The 23,408-nt window shown below is 37.2% G+C and overlaps 1 protein-coding gene and 1 long non-coding RNA gene across 2 annotated transcripts in view, besides 1 other annotated feature; one reads left to right on the top strand and one right to left on the bottom strand.

Moving 5' to 3' along the window:
- The window catches only part of MYCBP2 (MYC binding protein 2), a 282,438-nt gene that overhangs the window by 30,869 nt on the left and 228,161 nt on the right, over positions 1 to 23,408 (top strand). The window contains exons 3-5 of the mRNA NM_015057.5: positions 7,850 to 8,065; positions 17,315 to 17,468; positions 22,558 to 22,754. Coding sequence (NP_055872.4) covers positions 7,850 to 8,065; positions 17,315 to 17,468; positions 22,558 to 22,754 — 567 coding nt within the window. The remainder of the gene's footprint in view (positions 1 to 7,849; positions 8,066 to 17,314; positions 17,469 to 22,557; positions 22,755 to 23,408) is intronic.
- Positions 284 to 15,573, bottom strand: LOC124903184 (uncharacterized). Its single transcript, XR_007063827.1, has 3 exons — positions 15,537 to 15,573; positions 12,706 to 12,771; positions 284 to 363 (listed from the first exon to the last, which is right to left on the bottom strand). It is a non-coding gene; the product is annotated as an uncharacterized LOC124903184 (long non-coding RNA).
- Positions 4,624 to 4,827: a silencer, noted in NCBI's record as "fragment chr13:77865534-77865737 (GRCh37/hg19 assembly coordinates)". NCBI's record gives its function as "represses an EF-1alpha promoter that drives an FKBP-Casp9 reporter gene in an ReSE screen in HepG2 liver carcinoma cells {active_cell/tissue: HepG2}" and the evidence as "EXISTENCE:reporter gene assay evidence [ECO:0000049][PMID:32094911]".

The raw sequence follows: 23,408 nt of genomic DNA, 5'->3' as shown, positions 1-23,408 counted from the left end.
CTTGTCTCGAACTCGTGGGCTCAAGCAATCCTCTCACCTCGGCCTCCCAAAGTACTGACATTGCAGACATGAGCCACTGTGCCCAGCCTATTTCTGGGATTTTCTTGACCAGTAGCCTGGAAGTTAATATCTGGATGTTGAAAATTATTTGCTATTTATTCTTATTATCTTTGATCAGTCCTTTGGGGAACATATCCATTTCTGTTCTCTTTTTTCAATCTGACTACAGGTACTAGAAACTTGAGTAAAATTAGCTTGTAAACTGGGACTTGGATTTGGGTTCATCATATGCCTTTCTTGACAGGAATTAGGGAAACTTGGTGTGTCCATATTGTTCTGAGCCTCTTTTGACTGTTGGTAGCTCTGCAAAAGAAAAGGCAATATGGAATATTTGAATTAGGTGAGACCTTAGAAACCAAGAATCTATTTTCACCTAATGCAGAGATCTCTATAAAATCCATCTTTTTTATACTGAACATTTTCAGTGACCAGAGCACTTGATATAACAGTCTCTTTTCTATTGAACATCTAGACAGAAGGAAGAGAGGAGTCGTAACTATGATTCCTGAATAGCTTCACTTTGAGTTAAAGAAACAATAGATTTGCTGGGCCTGTATAGCAACTATAGAGGCAATTGTTTCCTACACTTTTAAGTTAGTGTTTTTACTATTGTAACTGAGAGAAATCTACTTCAAAGTAGCAAACCTAAAATAAAATGAAAGGTTGGGGGATGGCATTTATTTGGTGGCTCTATCTTGAGACACAGATGGATCCGGGGATGAAATGATATCATTGGCTGGGTGCAGTGGCTCACGCCTGTAATCCCCGCACTTTGGGAGGCCGAGGCTGGCAGATCACGAGGTCAAGAGGTCGAGACCATCCTGGCCAACATGGTGAAACCCTGTCTCTACGAAAAATACAAAAATTAGCTGGGCGTGGTGGTGGGTGCCTGTAGTCCCAGCTACTCAGGAGGCTGAGGCAGGAGATTGCTTGAACCCGGGAGGAGCAGGTTGCAGTGAGCTGAGATCGCACCACTGCACTCCAGCCTGGCGACAGAGTAAGACTCCGTCTCAAAAATAAATAAATAAATAAAAATAATCAAACCCATATTTTCAGCTCTTGCTTCTGCCTTCCTCTGTGTGTGGACTTATTACCTGTGACTGAGGCTGAGGCTGCCAGTAGCTCCAACTCCATTTGCTCTGAGCAAGAGGCAATCTCTTATACTAGTCATAGCAGAAAGTCTTGGGTAGGATTTTCGGTTTACCTGCATCATTTGCTTTGACCACGGAGATACGGGATACTTTGGTTAGACTGAGTTATATTTTTAACCCTGAGATGGGCAGTGGGTGAGCACCCTGGTGAATAGGCCACATGAAATGAGGGAGGAATAGTTACCCTAAGGAAAGTGTTGCCGGGTAGGCAGAAAAATAATCTGTTCACTGTATCCCTTCTCATTACTTCTGCTTCTGGGATAGAGGAGGGAAGTGGAGCGCATTGTCAATATACAGAAAACCTCTAACAAATACAGTCATTCCAACCTCTATCCCTTTTCAACTTTTTGGTGCTATGTGCAAATCGGAGTATGGGAATCTTGAATATCTTTTAAGTTTTTTTAAGGTTTCATTTGGTGATTTTCCTGAAGTGGTGGCATATGATATCCAGGAAGAGGTGAGGAGAAGTCAAGGTCTTTTGTCCCCTTCAATTCGGCCTCCAACTAGCTTTGTGCCCTTAGTAATTCAGTTTTTTTCCTCTTGCTCTCAGTATTTCTATATCTTCTTTTTAAGAGTAGTTTGAGATAACAGTGATGTAAGTAAGTTCATTCATTTATTCCTCAAACATTAATTGCATGCTGAGTATGTGCAGGCATTATGCTGGATGTTTGGGATACAAAGATGAGTAAGAGGCATTTTTTGCTCATGGAAAGCATATAAAGTAGTAAAATGGTGTTGTTAGTCTCCTTGACCTGTATTACTTTTTCCAGATTATTTTTCATCTACCCTCTTTCTGAAAGTTATTTTTAAAATGCCATTTAGCTGGCATTTTATCTACTTTATATCTACTTTATATATATTTTATATATATGTATATATATATGTATATATATATATATATATATATATAGCCATTATATCTACTTTATGGCTATCATCAACCCCTCTATTTCTCCTCATCCATCAGTCATCTCCTTTATTTAATTTCCATCTTACCCAGGTTAGATACCAGTCTTTCTTTTTAGAAAAACTCTTATTTAATCTGTAACAAATTACAAAAACTTGATGGTTTAAATTAACACTCGTTATCTTACAGTTCTGGAAATCTGAAGTCCAAAATGGATCTCACTGAGCTAAAATCAAGGTGTCAGCAAGGCTTTATTCCTTCTGGAGGCTCTAGGAGGGAATCTGTTTTTTTGCCTTTCCAGTTTCTATAGTAGAGGCTGCTCAGATGTCTTGGGTTGTGGCCCCCTTCCATCTTCAAAGCCAGTGGCGGTTGGTTGAGTTTTCTCATGCGGCATCACTGATAGTTTTCTGTTGTTTTATCTCCTCCTCTTACTGTCCAGCCTCCCTCTTTCACTTGTAAGGACCCTTGTGATTACATTGGCCCATCCAGATAATCTGTGCATTTCAAAATCCTTAGTTTAATCACATATACAGAGTCCCTTTTGCCATGTAAGGTAATATTCACCTGGGTTCTGGGGAATTAGGGTATAGAAGTTTTTGGAGGCTATTATTTACCTACCATATCTCCCTTGTATATTTGTTGCATTAATCTGACAAAACTCAATCTTGTGTGAATCCAGTTATTTTGTCCCTCCCTTAAGGTGAGTTCCATGTGCTGCCAAAGAGAGTTACACAAGAGTTAACTGATAATGATACACATTCATGATCATCAATCTCAAGTATACCATAGCCAGACTATCTTATTATTTTTTCTGGTCAAATAGTTCTCTTTTCTTCTGTGATTATTTCAGACCTTTGCCATGCTCCTCAAACCTCTGATAAATTCTACCTTCCAGCACATGACTTCACTTTCTTACAGGAGAAATCAAATTCATTACTCAGAAAAGTTCCTCAACTTCCTAATCCCAAATGCGTCTGTCTTCAGGCTTCTCAGTAGCTGAGCCTGACATAGAGATTTGAAGTTTGCAGTTCAGTAAGTTTTGAAAGTTAACATTCATGCATAGAAGCACTACTGCAGTCAAAGTTCAGAACATTTCTATCATCTCCAGGGGTTTTCTTTTTTTTTCTTTCTTTTTTTTTTTTTTTTTTTGAGACGGAGTCTTGCTCTGTCTCCCAGGCTGGAGTGCAGTGGTGTGCGATCTCAGCTCACTGCAGCTTCTACCTCCTGGGTTCAAGCAATTCCCTGCCTCAGCCTCCTGAGTAGCTGGGATTACAGGCACCAGCCACCACGTCCAGCTAATTTTTGTATTTTTAGTAGAGACAAGATTTCACCATGTTGGCCAGGCTGTCTCAAACTCCTGACCTCAGGTGAACCACCCGCCTTGGCCTCCCAAAGTGCTGGGATTACAGGCACAAGCCACCGTGCCTGGCCGGTTTTCTTACCCTCTGCTGATTCCATCCCTCCCTATAACCCTGGCTGTAGACAACCACAGATATATTTTCTGTCACTGTAGATTAGTTTTCATTTTCTAGAACTTCATATAAATGTGATCATATTGTGAGTGCTCTTTTTTTTTTAAATCTGGTGTCTTTCCCTCAGCATAATGATTTGTGTTAATGTTGTTGTATATCAATAGTTCATTCCATTTTTTTGCTGATTTTATATACATATATATGCACTTGTGTGTGTATGTGTGTGTGTTCAGTTTTCTTGGGTGCATACTGAGGAGTGGAATGTTTAGGTGGTTTTTCCTTTGATTTGCCAGAAGGACTCATAAATCTCACAAGCAATTTATACTCATGGCTAAGATTTATTACAACAAAGGATACAGAGCAAGCAGCAGGAAAAAGGTATGTGTTTGTGATGTATAGGAAGTTATGGCATAGGCTTCCTAGTTCTTCATTGACTGAGCTTTCATGTCAGAAAGAAAGACATGCTTTCTCTCTGGCAGTGAACTACAGAGAAATGTGTATATTGTTTTTGCTCAGGTGAGTTTTAGAATTCAAGACTTTGTGGGTTTGGTCACACAGACATATCTTGTTAGTCAATCAGACATGGTAAGTGAAACTCAGGTACACATTGTAAAGCTTGATGTTCGTACATGCAGAGCAGTCTGACAGGCCAGGAGGCATGGTCCATTGCTCTGTGTGTTCATAACACAATCATCAATCACTACCACAAAGAAAACTCTAAACATCCACATTCCCAAAGGTTAGCCAAGGGTCAATCATGGTTTCCTTGGGGAAATACAAGGAGTAAGCAATCATGCCTGCAGCGTTAACTTTTTCCTCAGAGTGGGCACGGTAAATGTACGTTTAGTTTAGCTTTTTTTTTTTTTTTGAGACAGAGTTTCGCTCTTGTTCCGCAGGTTAGAGTGCAATGGCACGATCTCGGCTCATTGCAACCTCCGCCTCCCAGGTTCAAGCAATTCTCCTGCCTCAGGCTCCCGAGGAGCTGGGATTACAGGCATGCACCGCCACGCCCGGCTAATTTTGTATTTTTAGTAGAGACGGGGTTTCTCCATGTGGAGGCTGGTCTCGAACTCCTGACCTCAGGTGATCTGCCCGCCTTGGCCTCCCAAAGTGCTGGGATTACAGGCGTGAGTCACTGCACCCGGCCTGTACATTTAGCTTTTTAAGAAACTAGAAAACTCTTTTCCAAAGTGGTTGTTCCAATCTGTAGTCCCACCAGTGGTATATGACCAATCTAGTTGCTTCATATCTTTGCAAACATATGGTATTCGCTTTTTAAATTTTAGTCAGCCTACTAAGTAGGGGTTTCCCATTGTGGTTTTAGCTTGCTTTTCTCTAATGACTAATGATGTGAAATCTTTTCATGTACCTTTTGCCATTCTTATTTTTTTGATGTGAAATGTCTGTTCAGATCTTGCCTCTTATTTTTGTAATTGTCTTCTTCTTATTGAATTGCCAGAGTTTCTCATATATTCTAAATACAAGTCTTTTGTCAGATATCTGCATTCCAAATACATTTCTCCTGTTCTGTGGCTTGCTTTTGGGGGAAGAATTGCCATTTTAATGATATTGAATTTTCCAATCCATGAACATGGTATATGTCTCCATTTATTTAAGTCTTTAAATTTCACTCAGCAACACTTTTTTGTTTTCAGTGTGTAGGGCTTACACATATTTTATTACTTTTATTTACAATTATTATATATTTTTGATGTTACTGTAAATGCAGTTATTTTTGAAAATTTATTTTGCTTTGAGATGATTTCAGTATGAATGCAGTGTGTATGTGTTTGTGTGCACCTAAGTCTGTGTAATTTTATCACATGTGTAGGTCCATGTGACTCTTACCACAGTCTGGATATACAGCAGTTCCATCACAAGGATTCTCTGTGATATCCTTTATAGCCACAGGTATCTTCCTTCCTCACCCTCTCCTTAGCTTCTGGCAACCACTGATCTGTTCAGCATTTATAATTTTGCCATTTTAAGAATGTTGTCCAGTGAAATTGTACAGTATGTAATCATTTAAGATTGGTGCTTTTTTTCCCCACTTGGCAAAATGTCTTTGAGATTCACACACATTGTTGCATATTGTTTGTTCCTTGATGAGTAAGCATTTCATGGTATGGATGTACTATAGTTTGTTTAACCATTTACCCATTAAAAGATATCTGAGTTGTTTCTAGCTTTTGACTATTTTAAAAGAATGCTATTACGAACATTCGTGTACTGGTTTTTGTGTGAACATAAGTTTTTATTTCTCTGGTGTAAATGTCCAAGAACATAATTGCTGGATTATATGGTAAGCACATATTTAGTTTTGTAGGAAATTGCTGTACTTTCTTCCAGAGTGGCTGTACCATTTTACATGACCATCAGCAATGTATAAGTTTCTCCTCATCCCCACCAGCATTTGGTGTTGTCACTATTTATTTTAGCCATTCTGATAGGTGTGTACTATATCTCATTTTAATTTGCATTTTCCTAGTAGCTAATGATGTTGAAATTCTTTTCATGTGCTTATTCACCCTTTGTGTAAATATCTTCTATATTGATGTGTTTATTCCTATCTTTTGCCCATTTGTTAATTGGATTCCTTGTTTGTTTTTACTGTTGACTTTTGAGAATTCTTTATATATTCTGAATACTCATCCTTTGTTGGATATGTGGTTTGCAAATATTTTCTCCCAGTCTGTGACTTCAATGCTATTATTTTTGAAATTACATTTTTTCAGTTGTTCATTCCTAGTATGTGGATATACTACTCATTTTTATATAGTAATTTTATATCCTGTGATTTTGTTAAATCTGCATACTATTTCTGGTAACTTTTTTGCAGATTCCTTAAGATTCTCTACATGTTTTTTTACAAGTAAAAACATTTCTTTTTTAGAAAATACTTCTTGCCTTTTTCCCTTGGCTGGATAGGATATTTTCCTTGCACTAGATAGGATATCCAGTACAATGTTGATGAGTTGCTGAGAGTAGACCAATTTGCCTGGATCACAATCTTAGAGGGAAAGCATTCAGTCTATTACCATGTTAGCTGTGGTTATTTTGTAGATACCCTTTATCAAGTTGAGAAAATTCCCTTCTATTCCTAACTTAGACTTTTTTTTTTTCTATCATGAATCGATACTGGATTTTTGTCAAGTGATCTTTCTGTGTTTATTTGAAGTATAATATATTTTTTCTCTGTTACAACAGTGGTTGCTTTTCCAGTGTTGTGCCAGCATTGTCCCTGGGTTAAACCTCAGTTGGTCATAATGTATTACTTTTTTATATATTGTTGGATTTGAATAGCTAATACTTGTAATATCTCTGGATATTTGGATGAGATATTTGTAATATCTCTTATACATATATTCATAAGTTATATGCCATGCCAATTTAACTTTTTGATGTATTTCTTATTTAACAAGTGTATTTTTTTTTTCCAATTCTTTATGGAAGAAGAGTCGAATATTTGGGACCAAGTGTTTTTGGTACTTGAGGTATCATTTTGTTTATCTTAGATACTTCCTGGACATACTCTAATTATTGGAAGTTGAATTTCTAAAATATTTTAAAACAGCTTTTTATATTTATAATATAAATGTTGATCTTGAAATTGTAGTTGCTGTCTGATGAATAAAATATTGGGCATAAAAGAGAAACTGTTTAGTCTTAACAAATTACCAATCACATGATTTTTAGCCTTTATCAATACTGATAGGTGAGAGAGAGCTTAGGGAAGCATCTACAGTTTACTTGGCATTACTGTTACTTGAATGAGAATGAAATGAGCTGATGAAAATTAAGTGTTTTTTTGGGAGGCCCTCATTTCTGTGTAAACTTCTATATCTACTTTTAAAAGCATTCAAAATGCAATCTAATGTTTGTAGTAGGTCATTGAGACTCTACAGTGTGTCTAGAGTCTCTTAGGAAGTCGTAAAATGAATTTCCTTTGATACAGAACTCTAAGAGTTAAGCTTTGTTGAGTCTATTCCTGTCATGGCGATACAAGAATATTTCTAAGTTTTTTGCCCATCCTTTTCCAGCCCTTGTCAGATTGGTTGGTTATTGCTGCATTGCTCAAAAAATAGTGAGGTATAGAAAAGGGGACTAGAAGTTGGGTCCATAGACTTAGACTGTCTCTGCTGTGTCACATAATGTGTCTTCTGCAAGTCAGTTAGTGTGTCTAATCTTTACTTTTATGTAAAATGGGACTTGATGATAGAAAAGAGTGTGAAATGGAAATATTCTGTTTTGTATTTCAGTCTGAAAACTTAGAGAATACAGTAATCATACCAGATATCAAACTACATAGCAATCCTTCTGCTTTCAATATTTACTGTAATGTACGCCATTGCGTTCTGGAATGGCAGAAAAAGGAAATATCATTGGCAGCCGCATCTAAGAACTCTGTGCAGAGTGGAGAATCAGATAGTGATGAAGAAGAGGAATCCAAAGAGCCCCCTATCAAGCTTCCAAAGGTAAGCCACTGAGTTCTATTAATATTTAGATGTGTAACCTGCAGGTGTTCTGGCTATAATGCATATATACGCATTGCTAAAATACTTTGCTTTATGTAAAATTGCACACTAAAAATAACACGGCTTATGGGCAAAAATAGATTTGGAGCAGAAAAGGAAAACTCTGCAACTTTATAACTAAGGTGCTAACAAAGTCAATAATTGATAATTCACTGGAAAGCGCAGGAAGGGAGATCAGTGGGTTGGAGTCTGTTATAGGGGCAATTAAAAAATGTACAAAAGCAGTAGGGTGGAAATGCTAGTATAGAGGCATTGAGCCATGGCAGATGGAAGTAGAGCTCTGAGCCAGTGAGCCGAGAGTAAGGTGGGCACAAGAGAAAGCCAAGAGCCCTGGAAAGCTGGGAGGTGCTCCTCACCTGGGATGCAGGTATGCGTTTTTATTTTTCTTGAAATAGAACTACAAAGCCTCTCAGCTGTGTAGTAGCAGGGCTGAGAGCCTTTTCCTTTCTGCCTAAGCTTATAATTGTACTCTTGATATTGTGGTTTCCCTTGATTAGGAAAAAAAAAAATCACCTATGAACCAACTGAACTTCTGCATTATTCTGATATTACTCCCTTATTTACCAGGAGCATATAAACTAGTTGGTATTTCTATAATAGAAGCATGTATTGTAGGCCGGGCGCAGTGGCTCTCACACCTGTAATCCCAGCACTTTGGGAGGCCAAGGCGGGTGGATCACCTGAGGTCAGGAGTTTGAGAACAGCCTGGCCAACATGGTGAAACCCTGTCTCTACTAAAAATACAAAAATTAGCCCGGCATTGTGGCAGTCGCCTATAATCCCAGCTACTCAGAGGCTGAGGCAGGAAAATTGCTTGAACCCAGGAGGCGGAGGTTGCAGTGAGCCGAGATCATGCCATTGCACTCCGGCCTGGGTGACAGAGTGAGACTGTCTCAAAAAAAAAAAAAGAAACTGGCTGGGCGTAATGGCTCACGCCTGTAATCCCAGCTCTTTGGGAGGCCAAGGCGGGCGGATCACGAGGTCAGGAGATCGAGACCATCCTGGCTAACACGGTGAAACCCCGTCTGTACTAAAAACACAAAAAAAACTTAGCCCGTCACGGTGGCGGGCGCCTGTAGTCCCAGCTACTCGGGAGGCTGAGGCAGGAGAATGGCGTGAACCCGGGAGGCGGAGCTTGCAGTGAGCCGAGATGGCGCCACTGCACTCCAGCCTGGACAACAGAGCTAGACTCCATTTACCAAAACAAAAAACCTGTATTATAGAACTACTCTCAGTTTACTCTGTTCTGTTTAAGTATTGGTATATTTAAGACTGGAAGGTCTATATATATATATATATATATATATATATTTTTTTTTTTTTTTTTTTTTTTTTTTTTTTTTTTGAGACGGAGTCTAGCTCTGTTGCCCAGGCTGGAGTGCAGTGGTGCCATCTCGGCTCACTGCAAGCTCCGCCTCCCAGGTTCAGGCCATTCTCCTGCCTCAGCCTCCCAAGTAGCTGGGACTACAGGCACCTGCCACCGCGCCCGGCTAATTTTTTTTTGTATTTTTAGTAGAGACGGGGTTTCACCGTGTTAGCCGGGATGGTCTCGATCTCCTGACCTCGTGATCCGCCTGCCTCGGCCTCCCAACGTGCTGGGATTACAGGCGTGAGCCACTGCACCCAGCCTGTTATATATATTTTTTCTATATAGTAGATATAGTTAATATTTACAACAAAAGAATAGGTGAAAATATAGACATTTTTAAATGGTGCCTTTATATGACTTATGCATATTGCTTTTTTCTAAACAGAGCTATTCAAAATGATTTTATAATTATAAATGATTTATGACTATTGCCTTTTTACTAAACTGATACCTTAAAATTATGCCTTGAAAGCTTATACATATCCACAAGGGATTGTGTAAATATTTTTTACTACTTGGAAATAGCAGCATAAATGGAACCTGGTCTGAGTTCTTTTGCACATTTTATGGTGGCTGTTCCTAAGTACACCACCATCCTTAATCATATTGTCAGGTTCTTCTCACCTTATTCTCGGCAGATGGCTTGCTTCATATTTCATAGAGTAATACAAGTTTTGTGAACTTACTCAGCTTCTTGATCAGCCATCTTCACATGTCCTTTTTGCCTCCTGTTTTAGAGTGGGACCCTTTTCTTTTTCTTATTTCCTTTGTCTGCAATGTCCTAACTGTACCTACTCTAATAGCTCCTTCCTTCCTTCCTTTGCTTTCCTTTGCTTTCCTTTCCTTTCCTTTCCTTTCCTTTCCTTTCCTTTCCCTTCCTTTCTCCTTTTTTCTTTTCCCTTTCCTTTTCCCTTTTCCTTTGCCTTTCCCTTTCCTTTCCTTTCTTTCACGGAGTTTTGCTCTTGCTGTCCAGGCTGGAGTGCAATGGCATGATCTTGGCTTACTGAAACCTGTGCCTCCTGGGTTCAAGCAATTCTCCTGCCTCAGCCTCCTGAGTAGCTGGGATTACAGGCATGTGCCACCGCGCCTGGCTAATTTTGTATTTTTATTAGAGATGGGGTTTCTCCATGTTGGTAAAGCTGGTCTCAAACTCTGGACCTCAGGTGATCTACCCACCTTGGCCTCCCAAAGTGCTGGGATTACAGGTGTGAGTCACCGTGCCTGGCCAATAGCTTCTTTCTTTAACCTAAAACAAACATGTTTATCTTTAATATGGGAGCTGCTCTACATAGAAATTATGGTCTCTAATTGTAATTTCTTATGCTTAACTAGGAGAGATTGAGATAAAAAACATAGTTGAGTTAGGACGTAGGGCTGGAGGACTTGTATAATTTACTTTTTAGTTAGAATACCAATTCTGTGTATGTGTGAGTCACACTGTATTATAGTAATTGTGCTACTTAAGTTCAATATTGTGAGAGAAAACAAAAGCCTGGGTAAATTTTTTACACAGGTATGCAGATTTTGAATAGTAAACTGTAGTTCAAATTAAATTGCATAAACAAGAACAATGGATTCCTAGGGTGTTTAAAAACATCAGGATTAGTGAGTATTAAATGAAATATCAGGCATTCTTAAGATAACCTTTTGCAGCATAATTAACAGAGTCAAAGGGGTATCTTTCAAAGAAAATTAAAGAAGATCAGATAGCCCAAGTGATTAATACTGAATTTTCTACCAAGTACTGACCTGTCTGCAAACAGGGTTAGCATGGGTTATGGAGCCAAACTGCTGGGGTTCAAACACCATTAAAATTACTAGCTATGTGACACTGGAAGTTATTTGACACATCCGTGCCTCAGTTTTGTCATCTATAGATTGGGGGTTGCATCTACCTCATAGGGTTGTAGTGACAATTTAAATGAATTAATGGATGTTGAGTGCTTGAGAGAACAGTACCTGGCAGAAAGAAGTGCTCGGTAAATGATATATATAGTTGTAAGTGTCAGTTTAGGTGCAAACAAGAAAATGTGTAGGTGCAAATGAATTTGAGTTACTTGTCAAGGAACTCTTCAGTTTATTAAAAAAATTATGCAAGCAAATGAAACTTCTAGAGAATCAGTGCAATCACCTGATGAATGAGAGGTAAAGAGAGGAAGAAGTGATGAGATGCCTCTATGCAGAGGCAAGCAGATACTATGGGTGGGGAGTGAAACTTTCAGGTGATATTTTTTGGCAGCCATTTCCATGACATGAAGGATTGACACTGAGGACGAAATTAGTCTCTTAAGGTTTGAGGTGATGGGATTTGAAGGCAAGTGGGAAATGTTGGCATTTTTCTTTTCCCTTTGACCTTCTCTGTGCCTCAGCCCCAAATGCTGCTATTATCCTAGTTTGCTCCTTTTCTTTGTTCCTCTGTTGCTCCTCCTAAGTGTGTGGCTGTCCCATTCCTTCTTGCCTGAGGTTTCTGTTTCTTGTACTCTTTTTTTTTTTTCCTTAACATGATTAAGACAGTTTTTAATCTGTTGTTGAAGTGTTGTTGTAATACAGTTTTATTTTTCCCATTCTTGAGTTTTAAATTATTATTTAGTTACTAATAAATTGAGTTTGACTGTTATATAGACCTTGATTGTCACCCTTTTGCTTTTTGCTTTTGTTTTTGTGTTTTGCGGATCAGTAATCATTGATGTATTTAAACGAGCTTTCTATTCCCTGAATGCTTCTACATTAAGTTTTTTAACCAGCTCAAACTGTCACTAAAATCTACATCCTCTAAAACTTTACAGATTTTATAGCTACATAATTTTTATTATTTTTGTTTTTATTTTCATTTTGAGACAGGGTCTGGCTCTGTCACTGGGGCTGGAGTGCAGTGGCGTGATCTCAGCTCACCGTTAACTTCCGCCTCCTGGGCTCAAGTGATCATCCCACATTAGCCTCCCATGTAGCTGGGACTACAGGTGTTTGCCACCACCCCAGGATACTTTTTGTATTTTTAGTAGAGATGGGGTTTTGCCAGATTGCCCAGGCTGGTCTCGAACTCTTGAGCTCAAGCAGTCTGACCGCCTCAGCCTTCCAAAGTACTGGGATTACAGGCAGGAGTCACCGTGCCTGGTGCATAATTTTTAAATAGTAACGCTTAGAAGTCATATTTCCCATCTGAACCCATTTGAAGCCAGTCATGCCACATTATTAAAAGATTTAGACTTACCTAGGATCATTTCTTTCTTAATTCAGTATATTCTTTTTGAATTTGTAGCCAGCATTATATTAGGTCCTGAGAACAAAAGGATGAGACATAATTCCTGCCCTCAAGAAAGCATTGTCTTGTAGGGATAAGAACCAGGTCAATAAATATTCTCTAGTGCCTTAAGGATTGATAGGGAGTGCTAGATATAGTGGAACACGTTAGAGAAAGGACTCAACACTGGCTGAGATAGAGCAAGAGAGAGAGAGCAGGAAGCTAAATCATGAAGGGCCTTATGTGCCATGTAATTGATTCAGATGTTATCTCATAATTAGTAAATATTGAAGATTTTAAGCAAAAGAATATCATCAGACTTGCATGATTGCATCAGACTCACCACCCTGTAGTTATGAATATGCCTTACTAACACTGGAGTAACTTTGTACTCCAGTAAGTAAGTAACTTTGTACTCCAGTTAGTAAGTAACTTTGTACTCCGGTTAGTAAGGCATATCCATAACTACAGGGTGGTGAGTGAGACTGGAGACAGAGGAACCATTTAGGCAGTTATTGCAGTTGTCTAGAGAGTGTTAATGAGGGTTGGAATTATGGTAGTGACAGTGTTTTGAATATAGGAAATGTTAAGCAGAATTGACAGGAATTAGTAATAAATTGGCTATAACGACTGAAAAAGAAGGCAGAATCTAAAGATATTCTTAAAGGTTTTGTGTGGTGAGGGCCTTTACTGAAAGAGGGAATACTGGATGAGGAACAGTGCTTGGCTGAAATGATGATCAAGTTTAGTTCACATGCTGATTCTGAGGTAAATGTGAAGTATCCAGTGTGTGCTATGTAGGGCTGAAGTTCAAAAAATAAGTGTCAGCTAGAAAAATAGATTTGGGAGTTATCACTATGTAGGCACAAGTTGAAACAAATTTCTGTGAGAGATCGGAGGGGGTGGGATCAAGAACATTGTTTGAAAAAATAGCTTTGAAAAGTTGAAAAGTTTTGAAAAGTTCTCTTCCTCTGAGTGTGAAGAGAAGGGAAGAAGATGGTAGTAGTCATAGATAAATTTGTTAGGCAAGGAACTCAGAAACTTCACACTCATACTTTCTTTCTTTTTTTTTTTTTTTTCAAGATGGAGTTTCACTCTGCTTGCCCAGGCTGAAGTGCAGTGGCACGATCTTGGCTCACTGCAGCCTCCACCTCCTGGGTTCAAGTGATTCTCCTGCCTCAGCCTCCCAAGTAGCTGGGATTACAGGCATGCGCCACCATGCCTGGCTAATTTTGTATTTTTAGTAGAGATGGGGTTTCACCATGTTGGCTAGGCTGGTTTGCAACTCCTGACCTCAGGTGATCTCCCAACCTTGGCCTCCCAAAGTGCTGGGATTATAGGTGTGAGCTACCACACCCGGCCTCACATTCAGAATTCTCCATCTTAGCCTTCTCCTCCTCTCTTTCTGCTGCTGCCTCTTCCCCCTCCTTTTTTCTCTGTCTCTAGATTTTTAAATTTTTTATTATTTGTAGATATTATCTCTGTACCAAATATTTGCTTTATACAAACAATTTTAAAAGACAGTATACTTCACTCTATGGTAATATGTAAATATAATTTTGATTTCCTTTTGAGCTTTTTCAAATATAAAAGTATAGGAAGTGATTTTAGGACCTTTTAACTAAACAAGATACAATTTTTAAGGGTAAAGAATTAATTATTAAATCCAAATGTGATGTAACTAAACTTTTATGATCACACTTAGTCATGAAATAATAAAGTCACGTTTGGAAATATATGATTTGAGAAGGGCAAAATAAAACCTTGAAAGACTCTTTATATATCATTTTTCTTTGGCCAAATATATTTTTATCTCACTTTCCTAGCATATTAGACTGGCTGTATCAGGTAATTATTTGGGCTTCATGTTTCTTTATCTTTCAAATATGATAGATAACCTTCAAAATTTAATTATTTGAGAGCAGCAGTAAAGGTAAAATTCAGTAAATTTACAAAAGACTATTTTCTGAAGAGAAGTGCGAAAGCATGTGTTGGGTAATTAGTTATAGTTCGTTATGGAAAGTATTGAAGCTTCTTGTGTTCTTTTATTGTTATAATTATTATTTTTATTAAATATCACATTTATTTATTTTGCTAATTATACATATTTATTGTAGATGATTTGAAAAATCAGAACATTTTTCTAAAGAGGTATTAAAAATCGGAAGTAATATTTGAAATACCATTAACCAAAATATACCCCAATATAAACATTTTTATTTCTTTTGTCATTTTTTCTATGTACACATTAAAATGTTTTTTACACACAAATGAAATAATACTATATTGGCAGGACTATATTTTTTCTCCTTACACTCTTCCTTCCTGATACTGAAGGAGGGAGAAATATGTGTTTTCATTGACTATAAGACTTCAAACTGTTTTAAAGTCTACTTTCAAAGTTCAAACTTTTGGTAAAATACTTTATACTTAGCCAAACAGCAGAAAAAGACTTATTTAAGAACATGTCTGTTACCTCTGTGCAATAATCCATAGCTAAATATTAAAAATTCTTTAATAGTTGCAGAACTTGAGGTTGATTTTTGTTGTGTATTGAATATATATTACTATTCTGAAAATGAATGTTTTCCCATTTGTTAAACAAAAAGTCTACAATGAACCAAGATGTGGATAATTAGTGAGACTCTCACAGTGTTTAACCCAGACAGATGAAGAGTTCCCTATCATCATTGTGACCAAAGTTTTATGGGCCAGTCTCACTAAAACCGGCTAGCTCTGTTTCTAGGCAGCCCACCTGAGTTGCCTATTGCCATTCACTTGTTATTACACCTTAAACTTACCAGAGAGATCAAGAACCTGTTCATTAGGCAGTCTTACTGTTTCTGGCAAGGTTCAATAATTCCGTTGTCACCGTAGGAAACTGTATCTATAATAAATGAACCTTAGCCAAAAATGTCATCTGTGAAAAATCCTCTTGGATTTATGAAAAATCATGGTTGGTAGCAGAGTAAGCAATCTGAAAGAATAACAGAATATAGTAGTCTTCCATTGGCTTGAGAATAGAGCCCCATATTTTGTACTCTGGAGATCTTTGACTTCACATTTCTCTTTCCTGTAAGTACATAAGCAGATGGAAATCTTGGACAGCATGTTCTTGTTTTCTAGTCCATTCCAGGAAAAGAAACTATATCAAATGTGAAAGTTTAATCACTTAATGTGTTTAATCAATTGAAACTCTATGCAGACTCTTCTGTAATATTAGCTATAATCAAGTCTGTTAGCATTTTAGATAACTTCTCCAAAGACAGTCCTCCTAGTTATTTGACTTCTTAGCTATATCTGTTGTTTCCAGAAAACTTGTAAATGTTAATCAGAACTACAATTGACTTACCTTCAGCCGACTTGCTTCTGGTTTAGAAAATGTATTTCTGAGATGCAGTGGTTTTTTAGCAAACAATTTAGTGAATAAATTAAACAAATATTTAATGTGTGCCTACCATATGCTAGGTAATTGGCTAGGCATGGGAGGTATTAAGCCGTTTAAGACATGTTCCTTGTATATTGGAAGATAATACAAGCCGTTTAAGACATGTTCCTTGTATATTGGAAGATCCCAACATGGTTGGGAAAATGAAAACAAAAATAGTTATACTGTAATGTAATAAATGCTATAACAGAGGTCTGTATTGAGTATGAATTATATAGCATGACTAATTTACCCTATTAGATTATAAACTCTTAGAGGACAGGGTCTAGTATACCTTCATATTTCCTAAAGTGAGTTTGCACAATATGAGTGCTTAGGAGGTATTTATGTAATATATGAATTAATGCAAAAATATCAGCAGAGAGAATATTCTTCCACTGTTGTGTTCAATAGAATTAATGGTTTTGGGAGTTTCTACTAATTAGTCTTATTTCAATTTTTCTGTTACTTCTCCAAACAATTTAATTAATACTTCTTGAACTGGTTCTCAGAATGTTGACATTGCCTGAGAAATGGAATTTGTCTTTTGTTTTATCAGTCTTATGAAGGTATATCCTTAAACTCATTCATTGCAATTTGCTCTCTCAATCTTTAGTAACAAATTTATCTCTTTTGCTGGATATAGAGTCTGATTTTTCTTGCACCTGATGAGGAATAGTAAGATAATTAAAGGAAAAGTACCAGTGATATTTTTAGCTAAGCAGTTTTAAATTGTTTTGTGATCATCCTACAAGAAGGGATACCAACTATAAATAATAATATAGTGATTGTACCATTATAGAAAAGGCTAAGACGAAAAGCTCCTTGTAAAATCTTTTTACTATATGTGCTGTGTTGACTTTATTTCTGGTTATAGGTAACAATTAACATGACTTTTGACAAAAAGAGTACTGAATTTTCCTTGAGTACAATCAAATGAACTTTGCAAATTAATATAGTTTATTTCTTCTGAGTGAATGCAATCTAGTCTCTAGTTCATTGTTATAAGCCATTTTCATGATGTTTTATTATGGCTCCATTATACATATACATTATCATTTGCTGTGGAAGTAACTTGTACCAACTAAACTGCTTAGAAAGTGTTACTAGCTTACATGTCATAAAGTATATATATTTTTTCCTTTTAAATAGATTATTGAGGTTGGCCTTTGTGAAGTTTTTGAATTGATCAAAGAGACACGATTTTCTCATCCATCCCTGTGTCTCAGGAGTCTCCAAGCCCTGCTCAACGTGCTGCAGGGCCAGCAGCCAGAAGGCCTCCAGTCTGAGCCACCTGAGGTCCTAGGTAAGAGCCAAGGCTCATTCAGTGAAGCATTTAAAAGTGAATATAATTAATAATAGAGTATTGTACACTTCAAAATTGTTAAGAGAATATTTCTAAAGTTCTCACTACAGAAAATGTTAAGTACTTGAGGTGATAGATGTTAATTAGTCCACATTTTATTCATGAATCATAACATCACTTTATACCCCATAAATTTATATAATTATAAATTGTCAATTTGCAGTTTTTAAAAAGTGAAGAGCTTCTCTTATGAAGCACACACAATAGCCTGTAATGCAGTCTTTATTTAATTGTGGTACGGAAACAGCAGGGGTATAAGTTCTAGAGTATTTTTTTCTGTGTTCCACTGAAGTTATGGTTTAAGAGTTGAAGTTCGTGCACACACATTTCTCAATTAGTATGATGAAGCGGGGGGCAAACAAAACATAAATCCCTGGAATCCAGAAATAATCCTCAAACCTTAAGGTCACTATTAACTGAAATCGTTCTTATTAAACTTTTGGCCAAAATAGCTAACATTCACTTTCTCTAACTTGTTACTCTCAATAGTTTTAAAAAACAGGGGAAAAGGAAATAAATGCCACAAAGCCAAAACAGTACAATTAGTTTCTAAATTGAGGGGACTTTTTTTTGTATTCATCATAAATAAAAATCTATTTGTGTTATGGATTAAACTTCTGACTTAGCAACTTTCATTAAGTAAATAAAGTGTTCGCTTTTCTTAAAGTATGTTCCGATTCTTGCCTTTCATATCAGTGACCCAGACTCAACATGTAATCCTTTAAATAAGATAGGAGCTTTTACTTAAAAGGTACTAAGGAATAGAAATATAGATGGAAGCATAATTTTTAACTGGTTAATTGCTTTTTTTCTCCGATGCTAACTATGGGTCTTTAAACTATCTAAAGTTTTCTAGATCCTTCTATTATTATAGGAAAATTCTCAGAAGTACTAGAGCTGTGGTTCTCATTATGTGGTTCTCAATTCTCATTAGCATGTATCAGAGTTATCGGGGACTTCCCTATGGTGTTTCTGATTCCATAGACTTGGGGTGGGGCCCAAAAGTTTGTATTTGGAATTAGTTTCTTGGTGATACAGATGCTGGTTTGAGGAGTACACTGCTGGTTTAGACTAAAACTTGGTCCTTTTTTTCCGACTTGGCTATTTAGATTTTGTAGGACCCACCTGTGAGAACCAAACTGCATGAACCTAACTACATGTCAGATTTTTCTTTTTTGGTCGCATGTGGGGACTCAGTTATTGTGTTTGACTTTTGTTTGTTTTAATGAGAGGGAGGATGCTGGTCATTGAAACAAGCTGAGGATTTTTTAAAACCACCCCCCTCACATACACAGTTATTAAAAGCTATTACCAAATAGAAGCTGTCATGTTGGCAGGCAAGCACCGTGTTGGTTATTGTTATGATAGCACCAGTGATCATATTAATATTGTGAAGTGCTGCTTGGCTTGACAGCATTTTACTGAAGATTTGATTTATTTTATTTAACAATATTTTGCTCGGTTTTCTTGGATTTGGTTTGTTAGTTAGCAAATAATTGGAATGTTGAAATACCCGCGAAGACTTGGATGTCGTATTTCCTACTTTGAACATGTTATTTCTTTCCTCCTAAGTCTTCTACCATTCTCATGTCTCATGTCAGTTGTTATATACTTTCCTTTGTATCCATTCTGTACATACTTTCTTTCCTTTATTCTTTTAAAACTAGAACTTGTTCTTAATACTGGCTTTGGCATATAATATGTGCTTTAGTCTTATCTTCCATCAAAACTTTCACATTATTGGCTGGGTGTGGTGGCTTATGCCTGTAATCCCAGCACTTTGGGAGGCTGAGGCAGGAGGATAGCTTAAGGCTGGGAGTTTGGGACCAGTCTGGGCAACTTAGACCCCTATCTCTCCAAAAAAAAAAAAAAAAAAAAAAACTGGGCATGGAAATGAGTGCTACTCAAGAGGCTAAGGTGGGAGGACCGCTCGAGCCCAGGAGTCTGAGGCTACAGTCGGCTGTGATCATGCCACTGCGCTGCACTCTAGCTGGGTGACAGAATGAGACCTCATCTCTACCAAAAAAAAAACCCCCAAAAAATCCCACAAAACCCAAAAATATTTCACCTTATTAATCTGTTCATTTTTATTTTCTTGTTTAAAGTTTCAAATTCTGCTGTACTGCCTTTCGTCTGTCTTCCATCCTTTCAGTGTTTACTGCTGATCTCGTCACTGCTTTGGCTTATTTTTCTATGTAAGGGATTTATTATCACTTCATGTTTTCTATTTTGTTAAATTAGCTCAAAGATAAAAGCACTGATTTGGTTCTTTTATACTAAATTTCTTTTGAAACTTGCCTCTCCTCCTTTTTTTAATCTAATATCACAATCTTATTGGTTATCCTTTTTTTCCCATTCGGTTGTTTTCGTGTTATTCATGAAAATATGTGTATATTTATATAACTCTTACTGTGGAACATCTTGATGATTAGTATACACCAAGCTTCTTCTCTTTGCAAATAGATTTTGATTTTTAAATTATCTATTTAAAAATATATTTCCTTATATCCATATATTCTGTTCAATTAGATTATATTCTCGAGTACTCACTGAAATGTAATAGCACCCCCTTTGTTATGTGCTAAGAATGTGCGATACTATTGCTGTTATTATGGAACTTAGCATCAGAGAGTTGGATATGTGTATAATTACAAATGTGGATAAATCGTATGGAGGAAAGTAGAAGGAGTTCTGAGAGTCCTTTTTTGTTTTTTGAGACGGAGTCTCGCTCTGTTGCCCAGGCTGGAATGCAGTGGTGCGATCTTGGCTCACTGCAACTTCCACCTCCTGGGTTCAAGCTATTCTCCTGCCTCAGCTTCCTGAGTAGCTTGGACTACAGGCGCGTTCCACAATGCCCGGCTAATTTTTGTATTTTTAGTAGAGACAGGGTTTCACTATGTTGGCCAGGCTGGTCTCAAACTCCTGACCTCAGGTGATTTGCCCACCTCAGCCTCCCAAAATGCTAGGATTACAGGCATGAGCCACTGCGCCTGGCCAAGATTCCTTTTTTAACTTAAAAATTTTTTATTTATTTATCTTTAGGGACAGGATCTTACTATATTGCCCAGGGTAGCCTCAAACCCTGGACTCAAGTGATCCTCCTGCCTCCACCTCCCAAGTAGCTGTGACTATAGGTACACACTGCTGCACCCAGCTCCTTCTGAGAGTCTTTAACAGGCTCCCTGAAGATGTGACATATGAGATTTAGAGGGTGAATAGGAGGGAGTGAATTCGATTATAAGTGCTCTAGGCAGAAATAACAGCATTTAGTAAGGCTCTGAGACAGAAAGGAGAATGAATGAAAAGAAGAGCAATATGGCTAGAATGTGGAGAGTGAAGGAAACAGTCTTGTGACAGGTGAGGAAGGAGGCAGGGACATGCAGAGCTTTACATGCCATGTTAAAGAATTTGATTAGTGGGCTAGGAGGAATGGAAAGTCATTCTCTATTTCATTACATGAAGAATATTGTTTTTTAAATAGCCTTATTTTCTTAAATTATTTGTTTAAACTATTGACTATTTTCTTTCCCTGGATTCTTAACCTTTTTGAAAGGGTAGAGACATTCTTTGTCATGTTTGCCAATACCCTAGTGTAGAATAGTTGCCAGTGTGTGAGAGTTCGGTATATATTTGCTGAATAATCAACAGATGTACTCACTGAAGGATAATAATTGGAGGAAGGATGGGTAGATGGAAATATGGACAAACAGGGATAGATGAAAGGATGGAGGGAAGGAAGGATAGCTGGAGGAAAAGGTAGAGGAAAGGATAAATGGAAAAAAATGGAAGTATAGGATGTGTACAGACAAGTGAAGAGAGGAAGGGGGAAAGAAAAGAAGACAGAAGGGAGGAAGAAATTAACAAAGGAGTGAAAGAATTTTAAGTAGACAATCAGATTTTTGGTTTGAAATTCTCCCTGGCTATTGGGGCAAAAGCGAATGGTAAGAGATAATTTCTTAACACTTTTTATCAAAGAGATGATGATAGCATGGATTGGAAAGATGATGATGAGATAGGGAAAAGTGGAGTTATCCATTAGGAAGTAAAATAAACAGGACTTAATTTGGGATTAGCTATGGAAGATGAGGGATTGGTAGGGGCTGCCTGGGTTTCTGTAAGTTACCAGATAACCCACAGGTGGCATTTTAGTTTTTAGAGAATTGCAGTACATTACTCCTCTTTCTCTTGTTCTCCTCCTTCTCTCCCTTCCCTTTCCCTCTCTTCATGTTTCTCAGTTTTTCTTTTTCTAACTCTCTTTTTCCCTCTCCATCTGATTATTCACTCTATAAGGATTTTCAAGTCTCCGTTCTATGGAAGAAATACCCAGATGTCTGTTGATTGAATCTTAGATGGAGGTGTTCAGGGAATTTTGTGCAGAGACCTCTGCTGGTTGTAAAACATTTGTGTGTGTGTGTGTTTCATCTTCACCACTAAATGACTTTATGATTTAGGAAAAATCTTTTGATACCACATATCTCAATTTCATTATTAAAGGGGGAGAATATCTGTCCTATTGACTTGGAGGTTTTTCTAGGGTATAAATGAATTACATCCTAAGTGTGAATTGCTATTATGTTAATGATATAGCCAATTTTATATTAAAGCACATTATTGCATATGTTTTATGTTTCTATTACTTTGAAAATATATACATAATTTCCTGGACACTTAACATTTTAAGAAGCCTCCTAATCTAAAAGGTAAAATAAGTATGACAAGTAGTCTATTACTTGATAGGATGAGTTTCTTGAATATGTGAATGCCTCTAGGCAAGCTTGTTTTAAAAGACCTTAGATTGTCTTTTTTTACTAAGAAAAATAAGGAGTTGAACTGAATGTTCTTTAAGACCCTTGTTACATAAATATTTTAACTTTTGGGGAAGAGAGTAACTAGAAAGAAACTAAAGCAAAGTAATTGTTCTAGATTCCTTAAATTTCGTTTATAATGAGACAAAGTAAAAATAAATAAATATACGCATATAATGTTCCGTATGTTGGATGAATATAATTGAATTCTATTTTATCCACAGAGTCTCTCTTCCAGCTTCTTTTGGAAATCACCGTTCGAAGTACTGGGATGAATGACAGCACAGGACAGTCCTTAACAGCACTTTCCTGTGCTTGCCTCTTTAGTCTGGTGGCTTCTTGGGGAGAAACAGGAAGGACACTTCAGGCCATCTCTGCTATCCTCACCAACAATGGAAGCCATGCTTGCCAAACTATTCAGGTATTTCATATTTATATCTGCTTAGAAGTTTATAAGATGACAAGTTACAGTTTCGTCTCAATTTCTGTCAATAGGAATTCTGCTTTTTCTCACTCATTACAGTAGCTTAATCTGTCCAAGATTGATACATAAATAATCTACAGTATTTCAATTAAGTGATATGTATGTTTAACTCTGAAGCTTTAAATATAATAAAATGAATTTTGGCCAGACCTCTTAAATCTTTAAGCTGGTCTTTGCCTTAACACCATAGCCTTCTCTTTCCTTGCTGTTTTCTTGCTGTCTGCGTTCTCCCTTCTTCCCATCTTTCCCTGAGTTTTTTAGTATGGAATTCATTCATGGTTTTAAATATCTTTTCTCTATTGAAAGAAAAAGATATGGTATCAATCTGATATATTTTTGATTGGTTGATTATGATTTTTTTATGAATTGATTCGTTTCTGAGTTACTTCAGCTGTGTATAAAACATTTTAGGCTTTTAATATTCAGTTGTGGAACAAACAAGCTCATCACCATTTTAGTGGTGGGAAAAATAATCCTTATAGGCAAACTTGACTTAATTATTTGGGAAGGCTCTGGAAATTGAGAAAGAAGTTATGATCTTAAGACCTGACTGTCTACTCTTCTCTGGCCCCTTGGGCAACCCTAGGGCAG

The sequence above is a fragment of the Homo sapiens genome, chromosome 13 (genome assembly GCF_000001405.40).
Source record: "Homo sapiens chromosome 13, GRCh38.p14 Primary Assembly".
NCBI classification, from domain to species: Eukaryota; Metazoa; Chordata; class Mammalia; order Primates; family Hominidae; genus Homo; species Homo sapiens.
The sequence above is the reverse complement of the archived record's forward strand: the minus strand, read 5'-3'. Positions and strand labels throughout refer to the sequence as shown.